We start from the raw sequence: 21152 nt of genomic DNA, 5'->3' as shown, positions 1-21152 counted from the left end.
AGATAAAATTTGCCATTTAACCATTTTTAAGTGCATAATCCAGTGCCATTAATTGCATTCACAGTATTGATTGAGCAACCATCACTACTATCCATTTCCCAAACAGAAAGTGTAACCATTAAGCAATAACTCTACTTCTTCCTTTTTCCCAGCTGCCCATAAGGTCAAATCTCTTCTTGTTTTTATGAATTTGCCCTTTCTAGGTACCTAATATAGGTGGAATCATAACAGTATTTGTCTTTGGTGACTGATGTATTTCATTTCACATAATGTCCTGAAGGTTCACCCATGTTATAGCATGCATCAGTATTTCATTCCTTTTCATGGCTGAAAAATATTTCATTGTAGGTATATACCACATTTTGTTTATTCATTCATCAGTTGATGGACACTGGGTTGTTTATACCTTTTGTCTATTGGGAATAGACAAAAAAAGTATGTATCGTGAAGACTGACATAAAAGTATATGGTCAAGTTCCTATTTTGGCTGTATACTAAGAGTGGAAATTGCTGACTCGTATGGTAATTTTATGTACCACTTTTTGAGAAACTGCCAAACTGTTTTCCACAGCAGCCACACCATTTCACATTCCCACAAGCAATGTATGAGGGTTTCAGTTTCTTCACATCCTTGCCAGCATTTTGTTATTATTATTATTTTTAAATTCTTGCCATTCTAGTAGGTGTGGAATGGTACTTTATTGTGGTTTTAATGTGCATTTTACCCAATGTCTAATGTTGAGTATCTTTTCATTTGCTTATTGACCATTCATGTATTTTCTGTGGAGAGATGTCTACTCAAGCCCTTTGTCCATTTTAAAAATTGGATTGTTTGTCTTTTTGTTGTGGAGTTGTAGTAGTCTTTTAATATATTCTGAGTATTAAACCCTTATTTGCAGATATTTTATAGATTATCTTTTCACTTTCTTGATAATGTCCTTTGATGTACAAAAGTTTTTAATTTTGGTGAAGTCCATATTATCAAGTTTTTTCTTTTGTTACTTGTACTTTTGGTGTTTTATCTGAGAATCCATTACCAAAACCAAGGTCATGACGATTCACCTCTACGTTTTCTTCTAAGAGTTTTATGATTTTATCCCTCATGTTGTTTTATATACAAGTTGGGCCTACGGTAAAAAATTACTTGACATGTGAAGAGGTGGGAAAATGTAACTAATAATCAAGGGAACAAATAAACTAGGAGCAGACTCACAAATAACCTAGATATTGCAGTTAACATACAAGGCACTTAAAACAACTAGGAATAATATCTTAAAGAAAATAGAGGAAAAGTACAAAAGGGATGAAAAGATGGAGAATTTAAAAAGTTAGAATCTATAAGAATAATCACATGGCAGTCTAGATTTGAAAAATACAATTTCTGAAACTAAGAACATATTGGATGGGTTTAACAGAGTCAGAATACAGCAGGAGACAGAATTAGTGACTTCGAAGGCAGTAACATAGAAAATATTCAGACTGAAGCACAGAGAGAAGAAATAATAGAAAGAGACCAGGGCAAAGATTGATGTGGGACATGGTCTAACGTCCATGTAATTGGAATCCAAAGACAGTAGAATTATATCTTTAAAGTACTGAAAGGAAAACAAAACCCTGCCTATTACAGAATTCTATAGCAACAAAAATATCCTTCAAAAATGAAGGCAAAATAAATTTTCAGCCAAACAAAAGTGAGAGAATTCATTGTAGTAGATTTGCACTACAAGGAACATTAAAGGACATTCTTTAAGTTGAGGGAAACGAATGTCTGTGTCTTTCAAAAGACATGGAGAGGCTGGGCGCGGTGGCTTACGCCTGCAATCCCAGCACTTTGGAAAGCCAAGGCTGAGGTCGGGAGTTCAAGGCCAGCCTGACCAACATGGAGAAACCCCGTGTCTACTAAAAATACAAAAAAATTAGCCAGGTGTGATGGCACATGCCTGTAATCCCAGCTACTTGGGAGGCTGGGGCAGGAGAATTGCTTGAACCTGGGAGGTGGAGGTTGCGGTAAGCTGAGATCATGCCATTGCACTCCAGCCTGGGCAACAAGAGTGAAACGTCATCTCAAAAAAAAATGACGTGGAGAATGTTCATAGAAGTATCATTCATAATAGCCTCTAGCTGGAAACAACTCAAATGTTCATAAACAGGAGAATGAATGAAGAGTTTATGGTATATTCACATAATAGAATACTACATGACAATAAAAGAGAATAAAGTCCTGGAACATGAAGTATCAAGGCTTACTCTTATAGATACGGTGAGTGAAAGAAGCAAGACAAAAGAGTATACTCTGTATAATCCTATTTATACAAATTTAAGAATAGCAAAATTGTCTGGGTGCGGTGGCTCACACCTGTAATCTCAGCACTTTGGGAGGCCAAGGTGGGCGGATCACCTGAGGTCAGGAGTTCAAGACCAGCCTGGCCAACATGGTGAAACCTGGTCTCTACTAAAAATACAAAATTAGTAGGGTGTGGTGGCGTGCACCTGTAGTCTCAGCTGCTCGGGAGCCTGAGGCAGGAGAATTGCTTGAACCCGGGAGGCAGTGGTTGCAGTGAGCCGAGATTGCGCCACTGCACTCCAGCCTGGGCGACAGAGAGACTCTGTCTCAAAAAGAAAAAAAAAAAAAGCAAAATTAATCAGCGACAGAAGTCAGAATATTGGTTATCTCAGGGTGGGGATTATTGACTAGGAAGGGCATGAGGGAGCTTCCTGTGGTGTGGGAAATGCTCTGCTATTTTTTAAATCTGGTTGATGGTCACGTGGGCACATATATGTATAATGAACATGTATTTTATGTTTTTCATCAATTTAAAAACAATTTGTATTTTCTTTTACACAACCAGCCACTCTTAGTCACCCCTTGTATAAATGAAAACACCAACAAAATGAAGACATTGCCAATTACAGTTAAACAGTAAGACCAAAATGAGAAGAGATTAATGTGGATAGTGAGAAGATAAAATTTAAAGTTGAAGCCTTAAAGGATGAATAGATTTTGAGTTTAGTATGAAGCACAACCTTTGATACTTATTGCTGATTTTATATTGCTGATTTTATATTGCCTTTTAACTTCTGCTGTCTCTCTTTTTTTTTTTCTATCTGTCGTTGCTTGTCTACAGTATAGGATTCTTCTTTATATCAGTCAACAACAGCCAGTTACGGTTGCTAGGATTCATGTGAACTTTGAGCTAATGGTAAGACTTCATCATATTGGAATCATTAGCTCCTTCGGGATAGGTTTACAGGAGAGACTGGTCTGATTGTACCTAATAGAAATTAGATCCACTGGTTCAGCCCTGGGTGTCCTTGTGAGTATCTAACAGAACCTTTCAGAAAGGTCTCTTGGCTCCTTCTAGGAATGTGGACTGAAGGGTGAATCGTAGAGGGTGAGAGGGAAGAAGAAAGATCTCTGATAGTTCCCTTTGGGTCCACCTGAGTCAAGACCCTACTCTATGAGCTTAGGCCGTCATGTTTATCTGGTATAATACTGCTTGTGGATGAATTTAACATTTCTCCTTTCTCCAGGTTCGGCCCAATAACTATAGCACCTTTTATGATGACCAGAGACAGAACTGGTCCATCATGTTTGAGTCGGAAAAGGCTGCTGTGGAGTTCAATAAGCAGGTGATAACATCTTACTCTCCCTGTGAAAAGCCAAAATACTTGTTTGGATTTCCCTTAATTTTAGGGAAACATATAGAAAACCCATAATCTGCTGTGTTTTGTTAGTGACTAGCATAAAAAACCCACTAAATTTGCCACTTCGGCCTATTGTATGATTTCAGGAAAATAATAGGAATACTTACTGAAACTGCTTGACAATTTAGCCTTTTTCTTTTTTAACAGAGAAAGACTAAATGTAATCTTATTATATTAAAAAATTTTCTACTACATAAATTATCTTAAGGAATAAATAAAACTATCTTTAAAAAATAGTGTTTTCAAAGAATGTTTTAGGCTGGGTGTGGTGGTTCATGCCACGCTTGTAATCCCAGCATTTTGGGAGGCCGAGGCAGGTGGATCACTTGAGCCTAGGAGTTCAAGATCAGCCTGGGCAACATAGTGAAACCCCATCTGTACAAGAAAAGAAAGAAAGAGAGAGAAAGAGATAGAGAGAGCAAGAAAGAGAGTTAAGTTACTACATACTCATTGTAGAAAATTTAGAAAAGCATTAAAAAAAATCACTCATAGTCTTACTACTCAAAGTAACCACTATTAACATATTTCCTTTTTTCTATGCATAATATACATAAGTAGATACAGTCCTTTAATAGTTCTTTATCATGCTTATTTTATTTAAAAATGTATAATTCATCTTTTCCTACCTCATGAAAAACTATTTGGAAACATTTTTGAAGGCTGCATAATATGCATGTTGTCAGTTCAAGCTACCGTAACAAATTACCATAGTCTGGTTAAGCAACAGAAATTTATTTCTCACGGTTCTCGAGGCTGAAAGTCTGAGATCAGGGTGCCAGCACGGTCGGGTTTTAGTGAGACCCTCTTCTGGGTTGCAGACTATCTTCTTCTTGTATCCTCACATGGTAGAAAGAGGGTGAGAGAGTTCTCTGTATCTCTTTAATAAGGTCCCTAATCCCATTCATGAGGGCTCCACCCTCCTGGCTTACTTACTTCCCAAAGGCCCCACCTCCTAATACTGTCACACTGGGAATTAGGATTTCAGTGTAAGTATTCGGAGGGGACACAAACATTCAGCCCATAACATTTGTTTCTTAATTGATGTAATCATTACCTTATGTTGTGCATTTAGATTGTTTTCTGTCTCTGCAGTAAATGATACCGTGGTGAGCATTTTTTATAGAAGTCTGTCCTTTTTTCCCCCCTACATATTTCCATAAGCTTTATTTCAGTAAGTGAGTGATTGGGTCAAAAGGTCCAGATATTTTTAGGTTCTTAATACACTTTGGCACACTGCTTTTCAGAGAGATTGTACTATTTCACATTTATATCAATTTTCTCATCGTACCTTTGCCAGCATTTAGAATGATCCTTTTTTTCTTTTGGTCTTCTTCACTTGGTTAAAAAAAAAAAAATGATGCCTCATTGTTTTTATTTGATTACAATAATGAAACTCTTTTTTTTTTTTTTTTTGAGACAGAGTCCTGCTCTGTCGCCAGGCTGGAGTGCAGTGGTGCCATCTCGGCTCACTGCAACCTCCGCCTCCCGGGTTCAAGCGATTCTTCTGCCCCAGCCTCCCAAGTAGCTGGGACTACAGGCGCACACCACCACTCCCAGCTAATTTTTGTATTTTTAGTAGAGACAGGGTTTCACCATGTTGGCCAGGATGGTCTCGATCTCTTGACCTTGTGATCCGCCCACCTCGGCCTCCCAAAGTGCTGAGATTACAGGTGTGAGCCACCGTACCCAGCCTCTGAAACTTTTTAAAAGAAAATGAGCCGCAAGTTCCTAATGGATACTATGTTAAAACACTGATAAAATTGGGTCTCAAATCCACATTTTTCTAAACTCATAAAGATCTTTCATACTATATTGCTTTTGAGGGCTTAATAATATTAAAACACAAGCCCAAGAATAATTATTCATAAATAGAATAGAATAATTATTCACAAAGATGCCCCTGACTCCTTTGTCTAAGATTTGTGCTAAGATAATATGGCCAAATCTGTAGATAGTATTGATGTGGATTCTGGGAATGCAACATGATTTTTTAAATGCCCTTCTTTCTACTGCAGTCTTTAGAAGTGCCTTCTGACGTTTTTTCAAAGCTCCCCTTTCTTTCCTAGGTTCCCAAACACTGAAACAGTAAATCAGTATCATCATCAATAGCTAATGTTTATTAAGTACTTACTATTATTTGCCAGGTACCTTGTCAAGTACTCTACTTATATTAGCTCATTTAATTTTCATAACCATCCTATGAGATTTGTGAAGCATCATCTCCATCTTGGGTACATAGAGATTATTTGGCTAGGGTCACAAAGTTAATAAGTGGCAGTGCCTGGATCTGTACCCAGACATTCTGACTGCAAAGCCATACTCCTAGGCACTTTGATCCCTGGCAAGATAACTGGCTTCCGTTTGGTTTACTTCTAAACATGTAATCTGTTTTGTTAGTGGATGAAGCTATTTGAGAAAGAGCAGTAGCAATAAAGGAATGAGTACTTATTGAGCTTAAACTACATTTATGCTGCTTTGATTTTGTCTTGCAGGTGTGCATTGCTAAGTGCAACAGTACCTCTTCCCTGGATGCAGTGCTCTCCCAGGACCTCATTGTGGCAGACGGCCCTGCTGTAGAAGTTGGAGATTCTTTGGAAGTGGCCTATACCGGCTGGCTCTTTCAGAATCATGTGCTGGGCCAGGTAAGAAAATGCACCCTGCAAGTTCTTTTGTAAACTTATATAGCATGAGGGCTATTCCCAGGGAAGATACTATTACTGTGAACGGCTGCTGTTGTCAAATAGAAATATTTTAGGATCCCCACTTTAGACACTGCAATTGCTTTGGGGGCATATTATGAAATGTGAATGTGTAAAAGATCCTCAGTGCCACCCTGTCACTTCTACTTAGGGAAAGTGGGAACCAATTTCCCCAGTACTATTATTTTTGCTAGTTGTTCATGTGTATGTCTTGTCCTCCTATACCAGTTTTACACTTGAATATATTCTTATGGGATTAAGTCTTAAAACTTCTTTTTAGACCCTCCTTATAGTTTTTCTTATAGTAGATACTGTAAATACATTGAACTTACTGTGTTTTAATATTATTGAGCCCTTAAAAGCAATATATTATATGAGAGAAAGACCTTTAGACTATGAGTTTAGAAAAATCTGAATTAGAGATCCAATTATATACTAATTTGACTTTGATCAAGTCATTTATACTCTTATTTTTTTCCATTTGTGAATGGAGGCTAATGATCTTGCTCTGCTTACTCGGCAGGGTTAGTGTCAGCATCAAAATGAGATAATTTATTTGAAAGTGTATTGTGGATGAAAAATGCTTAAATACACAGTTGTAGTAATGTGTTTTTTTTCTAAACCTGGAAAATTACTGTTTCAGAGATATTCATTATAATACCCTTTAGCTATGATGTGGGCTAATATTTCAGGTCCTTTAGAAACTATCTTCCCAGTATATTTGACATTCCCTATTCCAGAAGTAGTGTGCTGGTATGTAGTTAGTTGAATATCATAATGGTTATTATTATTTTTGAAATTGGCTGGCCTAATTTCCTTCGATCAAATTGCAGGTTTTCGACTCCACTGCTAACAAAGATAAGTTGCTTCGCTTGAAGTTAGGATCAGGAAAAGTCATCAAGGTAAAGGCTTAACTGTGTTTTTTTATGGTTTTATCAGTTGCAGTGGGTTTAACTTAGATTAAATTTTGTGGAATTCCTTTTTTTATTTTATTTTTATTTTTTGAGACGGAGTTTCGCTCTTGTTGTTCAAGCTGGAGTGCAATGGCACGATCTTGGCTCATTGCAACCTCCACCTCCCAGGTTCAAGCGATTCTCCTGCCTCAGCCTCCCTAGTAGCTGGGATTACAGGCATGCGCCACCACACCCAGCTAATTTTGTATTTTTAGTGGAGATGGAGTTTCTCCATGTTGGTCAGGCTGGTCTCAAACTCCCGACATCAGGTGATCCACCCGCCTCAGCCTCCCAAAGTGCCGGGATTACAGGCATGAACCACCATGTCCGGCCTGTGGAATTTCTAATCAGGTTATCTTTTTGACATCTGGAAATGCCTGGATGAAGAATACGAGGGGAAAATGTGTTACATTGCATTTGGGAGATTTTTATCTATGAGACACTACATTGAAGATGGTTACAATTGTTTTCTGTAGTCCTGACCTTTTCTTTTCCATTCTATGACTCTGAGAATATTATTTCATCCTTCCTATAGCCTAACAGGGGAAAAAGTGAGACAGTTTCTTCTCGAAACTTATCATAAAGGGTTGAATCTCATCTGTCTGGATTGCTTTGAATCAGCACTTTCCAATCACTGTAGAAGGCAACTGTGACAGCAGCAGGAGGAGCACTGGGGTTGAAATCCGAGAACTTGGGTTCAAGTTGTGAATTTTTTCTTTATTAACTGTGCAGGTGTTTTATAAAATAAAGAATGTTTTACACATGTGGTATATTATGGTGTCAGGACATAGTAGTGATGGTGCATCATGCTGTACTCATTCATCTGTGTGGCAAAAAGGTTCTCTCCATCATTTCATGACCACTTTTCCCAGAATCCTATGGAGACTTTTTCCCATAGATCTTAGCAGTTAAGTCATGATCACTGAACCTAGACAGATCTAATGTTGAATCTTAGCTTAACAACTTACTAACTGTGTGATCTTGGGCTAGTTACTTAATCTCCACGAGCTTCAGTTATTGAAGTAAAATGGGGATAATTCTGACAACCTTATGAAGTTTTTGGAGGGGCTTAAACAAGATCATGCATGTAAAGCATTTTCCACACTTCCTAGAAAACATTCTTTTTTGGTGGGGGGAAACTGAGTCTTGCTCTGTCGCCCAGGCTGGAGTGCAGTGGCACGATCTCAGTTCTCTGCAACCTCTGTCTCCTGGGTTCAAGCGATTCTCCTGCCTCAGCCTCCCGAGTAGCTGGGACTACAGGAGCGCACCACCACATCTGGCTAATTTTTTGTATTTTTAGTAGAGACGAGGTTTCACCATGTTGGCCAGGCTGGTCTCGAACCCCTGACCTCAGGTGATCCACCCGTCTCAGCCTCTCAAAGTGCTGGGATTACAGCCATGAGCCACTGTGCCCAGCCAAAAACATGCTTTTTAATGATAGCTTTTCTTTCTCTCTTACTGCTGTTCTTTTATTCCTCCCATTTTCTCTCATCATCTAAGATAAGTATATTTCATGCAACCCCAGATATGCCTGCTTTTACAAGTAGGTTTAGAGGGTGTATTCTAGATATTCTTATACCAACATGGGGCAGTAGTCAGACCCGACCTCTGGAGGCACTGAGTAAACGTGAAAGTGTGGATAAGTGAAACCTGTTGCTCCTGTACTTCACTTTGTCTTCTGAGGAGCTTCTTGTTTGATGAGCTTTTCCTATCTGATTTTTAAAGGGCTGGGAGGATGGAATGCTGGGCATGAAAAAAGGAGGAAAGCGATTGCTTATTGTCCCTCCAGCCTGTGCTGTTGGCTCAGAAGGGGTAATAGGCTGGACTCAAGCAACGGACTCGATCCTGGTGTTCGAGGTGGAGGTTAGGCGGGTGAGTGAAACTCTCTGTGTTTTGTTTGATGAGTCCTCTGCCTGTCTCTTTGCTAGTTACACAAAATGAATAAATAAATGAAGATACTTGAAAACCAGGTTCTGAAGGCATAGATTTCTTTGAAAAATTAGAAATGGAGTAGTCAGAAATAGCAACAGCTTTGAAATCTAAGGACCAAAGTATTATGTCCTTCCTGGCTCTCTATTCAGAGTCTAGAAGTGGTTGTGACTTTAAGAAAGTCACATCTTCGGCCGGGCGCAGTGGCTCACGCCTGTAATCCCAGCACTTTGGGAGGCCGAGGTGGGCAGATCACGAGGTGAGGAGATCGAGACCATCCTGGCTAACATGGTGAAACCCCATCTCTACTAAAAATACAAAAAATTAGCCAGGCGTGGTGGCATGCGCCTGTAGTCCCAGCTACTTGGGAGGCTGAGGCAGGAGAATTGATTGAACCTGGGAGGCGGAGATTGCAGTGAGCTGAGATCATGCCACTGCACTCCAGCCTGGGCGACAGAGCAAGACTCTGTCTCAAAAAAAAAAAAAAAAAAAAGTCACTTCTTCACACTAAGATTTTTATTTTGTCTATAAAATAGTAACTCCTGCCCAGTGTATATTCTTTTTACTTAGTGATTTTATGGCTACAAACTTATTATCTTGATATCTTTACATAAGTATGCAAAGATTGTGTGTGTGTACGTTTTACTACGACTACCTCTGCCACATAGTAATAGCAAAAAACTGGCAACAACCTAAATGTCCATCATTAAGATACTGGTTAAATTATGTTTTTTTCATAGATTTTTATGTAGCTCTTAAAGAATATGAAAAATCTATTGTTAAGGAAGCAAGTTGCAGAACATTGTGGATAGTATGGTCTCATATGTGCGTGTGTGTGTGTGCATGTGTGTGTGTCTGTGTGTATACGTATATACATATCCATATACATAGTCATATGTACATGTATGTGTATACACACATATATGCTCATATATTCATAGAAAATTCCTGGAAGCTTTAAAAGAAATCATTAAAAGTGATTTTTTTTCTGTAGAATGGAAATGGAGTTCAGAAAGTTTTACTTTTTGTCACTGTACCTTTTGTACCATATAAAAAATTTAACATGAATATATATAGTTTCTATGCAACAAATTGTGCTTAGTCAACTTAATACTACCTGTTCCCTGCCCAGAATGATCCTGTTGGCTTTATACTGTTTGTTAGGTTCAAATGTGATAGGATTTGTTACTATAAACTCTAAAATACAATACAAATAGGGAATATTATGGTCATCTTCACTGTGGCTGTTTACACCTGTCACAGAGAAAGGATGTGCTTCCCTTCTCAGTGACGCTTTCCTAACTGTTCCTAACTGGACACTCTCATCCTGCTGGGCCACTCTAGCCTTCTTTCAATGACATACGCCCTGCTGCCTTTTTTCTTTTTTACAGCTTTTATATTCTCTGTCAATTTTCCTTTGAGTTTGAAGAAATCATGGCTGGTGATAGATAACAAACCAATTTGAGTCTTATCATGACTGGCACGAGAAACAAAAAATTTTCTGTTTTACCAATAATCAAAGAATGACAAATCGATATGCATATTAAATTCACAAGGCTGGTAGAGAATCATACCCCATGTGGCAAGAGTGTTCAGAAAGATTTATACACTACTGTGGTGTATAAACTAGTTCACTCTTTGTGGTGGGAAATTTAATGGTATATATTAACCCATTTATGCTGGAGGTTGCAAATTTTTTTTGTGAAAAATCAGACCTTGGTGATGACCTTGAGCAGTAGGATATAAATAACTCCCACAAGCTTAGCGTTCCAATAATGGAACACTTGGCATAAATGGGTTAAAAGCTTTCAAAATGAGCATCCCTTTTATCCAACAATTTTAACTAATTTATAGTTTGGAAATATTTAACTAAAATTTAATTTATAGTTTGGAAATATTTAAGATTATATACAAAAATACATATACAAAGCTATTCATGGAAGCATTGTTTATGATAGAAATAAGCTGAATGTCTAACAGTGAGGAATTGGTGAAATATACTTTTTAATAGCATAGATATTTATGACTTTAGTTCCTAAAATCCTTTGGATACTTTTTCCTATAGATCATAACAGTGAAGGGCTGACCCTTGAAGTTAAATATACTCTTCAGTAGTTAAAAATAATGTTGCAAATTAATATTTAATGACATGGAAATAGGTTAATATGTCAGTGAGTGAGCAAAACAGGTTACAAAACAGCATGGCCCATTTTTGTAAAAGGTATATACAGACACAGATAATATAATGGTAGTTGGATTGCAGGTGATTGCTACCTTTGTCTTTTTGGCTGAGCTACATTTTCTGATTTGCCTACAGTGAACAGGTAATGGCTTGTGTAAGGAAAAATAAGTAAAATGAAAGGAGGGTGAAAGGGGAAGGGTATTTGTAACCTATTCCACCTGCAATGACTCTTTTTTTTTTTTAATTTATTTATTATTTATTTATTTATTTTTTATTATTATACTTTAAGTTTTAGGGTACATGTGCACATTGTGCAGGTTAGTTACATATGTATACATGTGCCATGCTGGTGTGCTGCACCCACTAACTTGTCATCTAGCATTAGGTATATCTCCCAATGCTATCCCTCCCCTCTACCCCCACCCGACAACAGTCCCCAGAGTGTGATGTTCCCCTTCCTGTGTCCATGTGATCTCATTGTTCAATTCCCACCTATGAGTGAGAATATGCGGTGTTTCCTTAGGTGAAGTTTGCCAGAGATTCTGGCTCTGATGGTCACAGTGTTAGTTCCCGCGATTCTGCAGCTCCGTCTCCCATCCCTGGTGCTGACAACCTCTCTGCTGATCCTGTTGTGTCACCACCCACATCAATACCTTTCAAATCAGGGTAAGATACTGCAGTTGTATCAAGCTCTTTTATGGCTCATAAAAATGATTCTTAGAGGGGTTCAGAAATAGAGATATAGTTAAAAACTAAAATAATTTTAAATAACTGGAAAAAATGGGATCAGGGAAATGGGGAAGATACTTGCATCAGATTTTTCTGACAAAGGTTTAATATTCATAGGCCACAAAAGCACTAACTCAGAAGAATACTTATAAAATTCTGGAAGAAAACTAAGCCAAGGGCATAAATACAAAATTATATACTCATGGAAAAAATGTAAATATAAGCATTTGGATGGAAAGTTGTTCATCTTTACTAGCATTCAAAGATTATGCAAACTAAAGAAGAGTTAAAATTCTGTTTTACAGTCATTAAATTGGCACACATTTAAAAAAACAATTTGCTTATCCAATATAATTTGGACTTGTGATTCTGGATTTTGTTTTCAATCTTGGAATATGGTCTATTTGCTTTCAGGGAGCCAGCTCTTCGTACCAAATCTAACTCCCTCAGTGAACAACTTGCAATAAATACAGTAAGTATAAGAGTCTTGGCCAGGCATGGTGGTTCACACCTGTAATCCTAACACTTTGCGAAGCTGAGGCAGGAGGATCACTACAGTGCAGGAGTTCAAGACCAGCCTAGGCAACATAGTGAGACCTCGTCTCTCCTTTAAAAAAAAAAAAAGTGTTTTTCTCCCTCACTCCTAGTGTGCTGAGGTTTTATGTGCTTAGGATATGGTAGGTTAGAGAAAAAAAAGTTAAGAGGCTAAAAAGTTTCTAGGCTAAATCAATGGTTACTTTGTTCATTTCCCCTTACTTGGGAGTCAGTGTAAGTTAGCCTCAGCTTCTGCATAGGGATTCAAATCTTGATTCTTATAAGCATGTGGCCTTGAGAAAATTGTCTAACTTCTGTGATCCTCAGCTTCTTCATTAGTTAAAAGGAACTCATAGTCCCTTTTTACAGTTTTTGTGAGGATTAGAGATAATTTGTAAAGTGCTGAGTTCAGAGCCTTTGTTCAGTTTGTCTTTAATAAGTGGTCACCGTGATTATTATTAGGATTTAGGAGACTGGTGTTCAACTGACGGAGGAGCCTCTCTCAGTTAAAGTGCACTTCAATTTTAGAAGTATTATTTATTCAGAGGATTGTGTTAGTGGTTAATCCTAGACGGTCTCTTCTACTTGCTTTCTGTGACCTTAATTTAGCTTCTCTAAGCTTCATGTTTATTTCCTCATGTGTAAAATGGAGATATTGCCTATCTCAAAGAGATTTTTATGACTTGTAAATAAAATAATGCCTATGGAGTTTTTAGTATTGTGTCTGGCATATTGTAAGCGCTCAGTAAACATTAGCTCTTGTTATTATCATAAGTATTGCTAACATTACATATCTTTATACTTTCATTCTCACAGAGGAGCTCTGTACTAATTCACCAGCTGATTGACTTTGAGCAGGTCACTGAGCCTCTGTGTTTCCCCAGTTGTAAGACGAGAGTGCCAGCATGCTGTTTTAGTAAAATCTGGATTTGAATGCCTTTAAGAAGGATGCATATGGTAGTTTGCTGCTGGCCTGCCTGGTCTGTGAAGGCTTCTGAGTTTGCTGCCTGTGGACCAGACAGTGGCTGAGGCACTTCAAATTCTAAAGCCCTGTGGCCTTCACCTATTGCACTGGGAAACAGAATAGTTGCATGGAGTGAAATTGGTGCTAATATCTCTGCAACCCTAGTTTACTTGTTTATATTCAATCCAACAGGAATTATTAAGCAAATAATTGTTTTGAAGTGATCTCCTAAACCCAGAAGGTTAAATCAAAGAATCAGAAGAAAATTTAAGAATAATTATTATCTCAGATCTTTGAACAGTCACAAAAATGGTCCAATATTGGTTCCATTGTACTCTGTAGTCATAACAACTCGTTACCTATTTCTAAGGCTATAGTAACTTCTAGCAGACTAATGGCCTCCAACTATTTTTCTTCTCTTTTTTTTTTTAAACAAATTTGTTTTTTTTAATGGAGGCAAAATTCACGTTACATGAAATTAACCACCTTTCTTTTTCTTTTTCTTTTCCATTTTAGTTTTTATCTTTTGTTTTGAATAGGTAATTACATTTATATGGCACAGTTATCAAAACAATATAACAAGATCTACATTGTGAGGACTCACTCCTATTCCTGTCCTTATCTACCCTATTCCATCTCACACCCCTTAGGTAACTGCTTTTATTAGTTTCTTATATATTCTTTCAGTGTTTCTTTATGCAGGTGCACACAAGTAGAAATGTATTTTTTATTCCTCCCTCCTTTCACACACACAAAGTAGCATACTCTGTATGTAATGCACCTTGCCTTTTCCATATAACTATATATATATAATTTATATTATATATATATATAATGCAGAATCTTTTCATGTTGGTGTATAGAGAGCTTCCTCATTTTAATCTGCATATCACAATATTCCATTGTGTGCATAAGGTCTATATAACTAGTCCTTTCCTGATGTATCCAACTTTTTTTGGATACATCATCAGTTACGAAAAAATAAGCACACACTCCCAGTATAGGTTTATTGACAAATTATGTACATAAAGTACCACCAATCCCTGTAAGCAAACTCAGTGTCTTACACTGATAGCTTAAAAATAATAAAAATGCAGCCTGGGCAACATGGCGAAGCCCTTTCTCGACCAAAAATACAAAAAATTAGCGCCTGTGGTCCCAGCTACTTGGGAGGCTGGGGTGGGAAGACGTCTTAAATCTGGGAAATGGAAGTTGCAGTGAGCCGAGATCACGCCACTGCACTCCAACCTGGGTGATAGAGAACCCATCTCAAAAAAAAAAAAGTAATAATAATAAAAATGGAGGTTATGATCATTTCCTTCTATACCCAATAGCTCATATTGTGCACCTTCAGGTGTACTTACTTGCCATTCTGAAATTTTGGATCAGTTAATGGAAGCTTCTAGCACAGGGTCTAATGGGTAGTTAATGCCAAGTCATAGTTAAGTGAACCTGAAGTTAAAACAAAGAGCTCCTGTTTCCTTTTCTCCACAGATCTCTTCTGAATTATCTACCGAATTGCTTCAGGGTTTTGAGTGAGGGTACTGTCACCTAAAATGCCTCCCTTTCTTAACATCTCACTTTAATTTTTCATCTGTAAAATGAGACTAATTATGCCTGCTGGGGAGACTTGATTGAAATGAGGCAATGTATGTGAAACCACTTTGTCCATTCCAAAGATACAGGGAATTATTTTTACTGCTATTAATTGTGATCCATGTATACTTCTATGCAAGAAATCTTTCTCATTTTCTAGAGGAAATGTTTTTAAATAGATATGGTAGGGGGATTTGTTGAAGGATTTGATACAAGAGCCAAAGGGATAGAGCTGCCTGAAGGTGATGAGCTTTAATCACAGTGATTTTTGTGACTTTCCTCTCTTTTTAGAGTCCCGATGCAGTCAAAGCCAAGTTGATCTCTCGGATGGCTAAAATGGGCCAGCCCATGCTGCCCATCCTTCCACCACAGCTGGATTCCAATGATTCAGAAATCGAAGTATGTCCCCCTGGCTGTATTAGAATGAATAGTACAGATGTCGCCATCATCTTTCTTTTCATTTGGTTGGAGTGATTGTTTTTTCTCTAAGGCAGAATCATTATTTAGAGAGCTAATATGCAAAATGATACAGATTGGTATTGGTACATGTGTTTCTACTGTGATTAGTACTTCCCTGAGAGATGGAAGCAATTTTGTAGATCTTTTACAAGAACTGGGCAGTTTTCAGTAGTTAATTTAGCCTTCTTTACTAGAATCTCTGTTGTTACTAAAGATCACTCTCTGGGCAGCATGATGCCCAATCCATAGCAGGTGTTCAATTCATATTTATTGAGCGAATGTTTAGATTCTTTTGGGAAATGTTGGTCTTCTCGCTGATGTTGCCTATCACTAAAGCTCCAACTAGTATGTCTTTTGACTTTGTATGTGGTATTCTTGTGTTTGTTTTCTATTTAGAAGTTCAATAATTTTATTGAATTCAAGTCTGTCAATTTTCTCCCCTTGTTATTTGCTTTTGACATTATGCTTAGAAAGCCTCTCCACTTTCAGATTATAAATATCACATGTATTTTTAAAGATATTGATCAATATTTTATAATTAGATCTAAATTTTTAATCCATTTGGAATTTGGTGTATGCTATAAAGTAACTTAATTTTAACTTAATTCTTCTCTAGTGGTTAGTTCTTTATTGAATATAATCGTCCTTTCTCAATTGAAGTGAAATATATAACTTAGACTGATTTTTAGTATTCTTTTACTTTGATAGAAAACAAGGAAAGGGCGATGGTCTTGAAAAAATTTTTTCTGGAATATACTTTATATTTTACATTTTTGTTTTATTTCTTGGAAAAGCTCTATGTAGATTTAACATCTTAAAGGAAGATAGGATTTCTGAGGCCTATTGTTATAGGATTATTTTTTTCTGGTCTGGAAATGCAGTGTAAATAAGAATATTTTTATTAAAAATTTTATGTGCTACTTATTCATTTTAGAATAATTTAAAATTATAGAAAAGAAACATATTGAACAAAAAGGGCATTCATCTTTATATATTGCTTTGTAACCTGATTTTTAAACCTAATGTTGTATCATAAACATTTACATTAACATAAATGATTTAAGTAAATAAAGTGGTTTAAAGGAAACCCAGTGTTCCATTATATCATTTTATTATAATTCCTTTCACTCTGTTATTAGACATTTAGGTTGGTTAAGAGCTGTAGAAATCTAAAACTGGGATGTTTTTCTAGAAGAGAATATAAGGGGACAAGGTGAAGTTCTAAAGTAAAAGAATGTCTGAAACTTTGGTCTTTGAACTATAGCATAGCAGATTACAGTCACTGTATATTGTGCCTCAAGATTTTCTGTTTCTTATATGAAGCAGGAGGTAGAATAACTTTGTTTAGAGTTATAGCTTTGATTTTATGAAAAGCTTTGGTTTTATGAAAATAAAGAATGTTGGAAAAACATCCTAAAACTATATTATCCAAAAACAGCATGTTAATCAGGTGCAGTGAATCCTACGTTATCTGATTTTCATTGAGTACCTTGAGGACTATGGGGATGATTTGTAAGAAGCGAAGAGGCTGGATTATTTCTTGCAAAAGACCACTTTTTTTGTGGGAATAGATTAGATTTGTCTTAAGGCAGTTACTGGCTTGGAAAATGATACATTCTGAAGAGTGGTTAGTTTAGCTGCTTCAGACAATAGAACATCAACCTCTGAGAATATTTGTGGAAATTAACTATATTTACTTATTCAATATGATTATAGGGAGAAGGACTCTTACTTTATTGCATAGCAGAGTGCTTTTTCTCCACAACCCACACCCTCAACTCTTGGCCTTCCGCTTACCTTTCCTTCCTCTTCTTTGCCTAGAAATCCTGTGTTGGAAGCAGGTTTAGGGCAGACAGTCAGCCTCAGTCTTCAATGAGGGACCCCGTACAGAGTAACCCAAACGCTTGTTCCTGTTTCAGGATGTGAACACTCTGCAAGGAGGTGGGCAGCCTGTGGTGACTCCGTCCGTCCAGCCCTCTCTTCATCCGGCCCATCCAGCGTTACCACAGATGACCTCACAGGGTAAGGAACCTCTCTGAGGCTCTGTGGCCTTGAACTGGGTCAGCATGAAAATTATCGTCACTGTTCCTTAAACTGTTAGGCTGCATTGTTTCAGTACTGAGGACTAAAGTGTAAATGTAAGAGTGTGACGCTTGTCAGTTTGTCCCTGGGTAAGGCATTTTCATACCCAGAGATGGACCTGGCTGCTGGTTGTGACTTCTGCTGTGTTGCACTGTCAGTTTTGGAAATCTGCACTCAGCTATTGAGACATCTCCCTGGGTGTGTTCTGCACTTCCTGTCGGGTGGGATCCTAGGGCTGAGTCAGAAGCACATGAGAGCACCCAGTTTCCTTCCACTGGCTCATTCCTGAGATTGCAGTAGAGCTGAGTGTAGGGAGACTAGGCAAGGAAAATAGTTGAGTCTGAAGCATGATAGTATGTAAGGTGCTAGTCTAGACTCACACCAAGAAGCAAGGGTGGATAACAGTGAAAATGTCTCCCTTTATCTTAGCACCTCAGCCATCTGTTACTGGGCTCCAGGCACCTTCTGCTGCCTTAATGCAAGTGTCATCTCTCGATTCCCACTCAGCTGTATCTGGAAATGCCCAATCCTTTCAGGTAACATTTTATAACCGTATTAATTATATCCTATAATTTGCTGTGGTTCTAGTCAGTCTCTTTTCTTCTTCCTGTACATTTCATACAGTAGCAGTTCCCCAAAGTCAGAGTTTGTAATTTTTTTCCCTTCCTTGGTTACCACTTTCTCATCTCTAAACCAGGCAAAGGATAACCTACGTTCCAGTGTCATAAAGATTAAATGCAAGAACAAGTAGAGCCCCTAGTACAACGTAGTAAAGATGCAATCAATGTTTGTTTCCTTTTCTTTTCACACATATCCAGTTGAAGCGTGTATATTCGCGTTCTTCTGTATTCTTTTCTACTAAAAGTTGGCAGGCTAACATTCTGCAGTATATTCAGCAGAATGGTATGGTTTAAAAGTGGAACCATGTGGAAAATGTAGCTTGACTCTGCTATCTAGTAAACTTTTCTTAAAGAAGGCCTTTTTCCTGTTATCACAGAAAACAATGGCAGCAGCCTGTTTGCCAGGGGTAGCAGACCCTTTCTTCTGCCTCAACACACTTGGTGGATAAGGCATACTGTCACTGGGAACAGCTGCTCACTCCTTGTGATGCTTAATGGAGGTGTGGGAATGATGGTGGATAGGCTATGCCTCATTAACATGGGGAGTCTCGAAACTGGAAAAAGTCCCACTGTTGCCCTCTTTCTCCCCATCCCTCCTCTCCTCCATGGAGAATTACTATGCTGTAGACTAAGAATTTTTTTTAAGTGGATGCGTAGTTATATCTATCCCTGGAAATGAGCTAGACTTCCTTATTTCAAGGAAGAATTACCATCCTCATTAAAATAAAAGCTGCTGTTTATTAAGCGCTTACTATCTGTCAGGCCTGTAACTTACTAGCTTTTCAGAACTTTACCTATCTCACTTCATTTAGTCCACAGAACAGCCCTATGAAGTGATATTATTATCTTCCTCTTACAGTTGAGGTGACCGAGACTCAAAGGAACATGAGAGCTCTTGGTCTCGTGGATTAGCTTCAGAATCTAGCAGGGGAGAGGCATCCTTGGAAATTGGCAGATTTGGTTTGGAATCTCAGTGAGCACTTCTTCTTTAAACTCAATGGAAGCTAAGCAGAGTTTATTAATCTAAAAACTTCTTAGACAATAGGCCTGATAATGGGGAATGAATCCCTGCTTAATTATCTCACCAGATGACTGGGTAGTGACCTAAGATACACTTTCTTCAGTTTCTGGGTAGGATTTTAGTGACTGGTTTCCCCTGGGATACATAGATAACTCTCCTGCTGCAGTCCTTACCAACTGCCAAACCCAGATCTCACCCATCTCTAGCTTCAGTAAGTTTGAGTCTCCTCCCAGCTCATCCACTTTATTCCACCAAAGAAAAATGTGAACAAAAAAGAAAGACATGAATGTTTTATCAACCAGTGGTAACTCGTCAGTTTCTCAGCCCTATGCAGGTATGCAAGCCTACGCTTATCCCCAGGCATCTGCCGTCACCTCCCAGCTGCAGCCCGTTCGGCCTTTGTACCCAGCACCGCTCTCTCAGCCTCCCCATTTCCAAGGTAGGGAGTAATTCCCTCAGTTTCTCATCTTCCGCTCTTGCTGTGCTTTCCCTCTTCTTGCTCCTCCTTCATTTTCACACCAACAGCTCTCTACTCATTGTTTCTTCTCTTTTTTAACAGCTTTGTTGAGATATAATATGTATTCCACACATTCATTCATTTTAAATGTGCAATTCAAAAGTGTTTTAGTAAATTTGCAGAGTTGTGCATTCATCACTACAATCCTATTTTAGAACATTTCCGTCATCCCCCAATGTTTCCTTGTGTCCACATTCTGTGTTTTTTTCCTTGGATTTTCTCCCCTGGCCCTTTTAATTCCTCTGTTAGAGTAGCTAGAGTTTAGAGAAAATAGTAAAAGAGCAAAACATTGGAGGAAATTGGGAGAAAGTTGAATACTATAGGTGTTTAGTATCTCTAATGAAAGCTACTCTGTTAACATTTTTAAATTATGAAAATAAGAGACTTTTATAAAAAAGTCAAGCAGTACAAAAGGGTGTAAAGTGAAGTTACTGTCCTTCCCCTCCATAAACCCCCTGACCTTGGGAAACTGTTGTTAACAGTTACTTGGGTAACTTTTCAGATATTTTGTATGCATGTACAAATGTGAGTATCTAATGTAAAAAAATCAAACCAAGATAAAGTGTAAACTGCTATGATGGAATCCTGCCTTGTTCTGCTATTAGTCTTCTGTTTAGTAATCAGCTTTGGTATTAGGACAGTGGTAGGAAGAAGCCAGTATGTCCTGCAACATAATTTGTGGTTCTGGACTGGTCAGGATTTCCTGAATGCAGCCTTTATCTGGAAGCTCTGCCCTTCTCCATCTGGGATACGCTTTTTCATCCATCAAAACTGTCATCTCCCTCTGTGAAGCCTTCCCTGACTATTCTCTGTCCCTCTTTCCTCTCTTCCCACAAACACAACTGTGTACGCGTGTCACCAAAGAGTTAATCGTGCTTTTCTCTGTGCTACTTTTATACCTAGTATATGGTCCATTGTTTTGCACTTAATACACTCTCTTGTAATGATTTGTTTACATGTCAGTCTCCCAGCCAGACTGAGAGCTCACCAAGGGCAGAAGCCGTGTTTTGTTTACTGCTGTATTCCTGGTACCTGGTACAATGCTTGGCATACAGTTGGATGAACGGGAAAGTAATCTGAGCTGCCGGTGCTGTGGCAGTGCAAAGTGGGCATATTTGTGCCCTTGGACCAGATGTAGCCCTTGATGCATTTTGCAGGAACA

The 21152-nt window shown here is 38.1% G+C and overlaps 1 protein-coding gene across 3 annotated transcripts in view, besides 1 other annotated feature; it reads left to right on the top strand.

Moving 5' to 3' along the window:
* FKBP15 (FKBP prolyl isomerase family member 15) overlaps window positions 1-21152 on the top strand; it is a 60272-nt gene that overhangs the window by 15117 nt on the left and 24003 nt on the right. For all 3 annotated transcript variants that reach the window (NM_015258.2, XM_006717019.2, XM_006717018.3), the window contains 11 exons: window positions 3126-3200; window positions 3532-3630; window positions 6198-6347; window positions 7238-7306; window positions 9083-9229; window positions 11992-12134; window positions 12612-12669; window positions 15583-15690; window positions 17670-17772; window positions 18262-18368; window positions 19798-19912. In NM_015258.2, coding sequence (NP_056073.1) covers window positions 3126-3200; window positions 3532-3630; window positions 6198-6347; window positions 7238-7306; window positions 9083-9229; window positions 11992-12134; window positions 12612-12669; window positions 15583-15690; window positions 17670-17772; window positions 18262-18368; window positions 19798-19912 — 1174 coding nt within the window. The remainder of the gene's footprint in view (window positions 1-3125; window positions 3201-3531; window positions 3631-6197; window positions 6348-7237; window positions 7307-9082; window positions 9230-11991; window positions 12135-12611; window positions 12670-15582; window positions 15691-17669; window positions 17773-18261; window positions 18369-19797; window positions 19913-21152) is intronic.
* Window positions 17427-18626: an enhancer, noted in NCBI's record as "P300/CBP strongly-dependent group 1 enhancer chr9:115949815-115951014 (GRCh37/hg19 assembly coordinates)". NCBI's record gives its function as "activates an origin of replication core promoter dependent on BRD2, BRD4, P300/CBP, MED14 and CDK7 cofactors, with strong dependence on P300/CBP, by STARR-seq in HCT116 cells {active_cell/tissue: HCT116}" and the evidence as "EXISTENCE:reporter gene assay evidence [ECO:0000049][PMID:35650434]".

This window comes from Homo sapiens, chromosome 9 (assembly GCF_000001405.40).
Source record: "Homo sapiens chromosome 9, GRCh38.p14 Primary Assembly".
Lineage (NCBI taxonomy): Eukaryota > Metazoa > Chordata > Mammalia > Primates > Hominidae > Homo > Homo sapiens.
The sequence above is the reverse complement of the archived record's forward strand: the minus strand, read 5'-3'. Positions and strand labels throughout refer to the sequence as shown.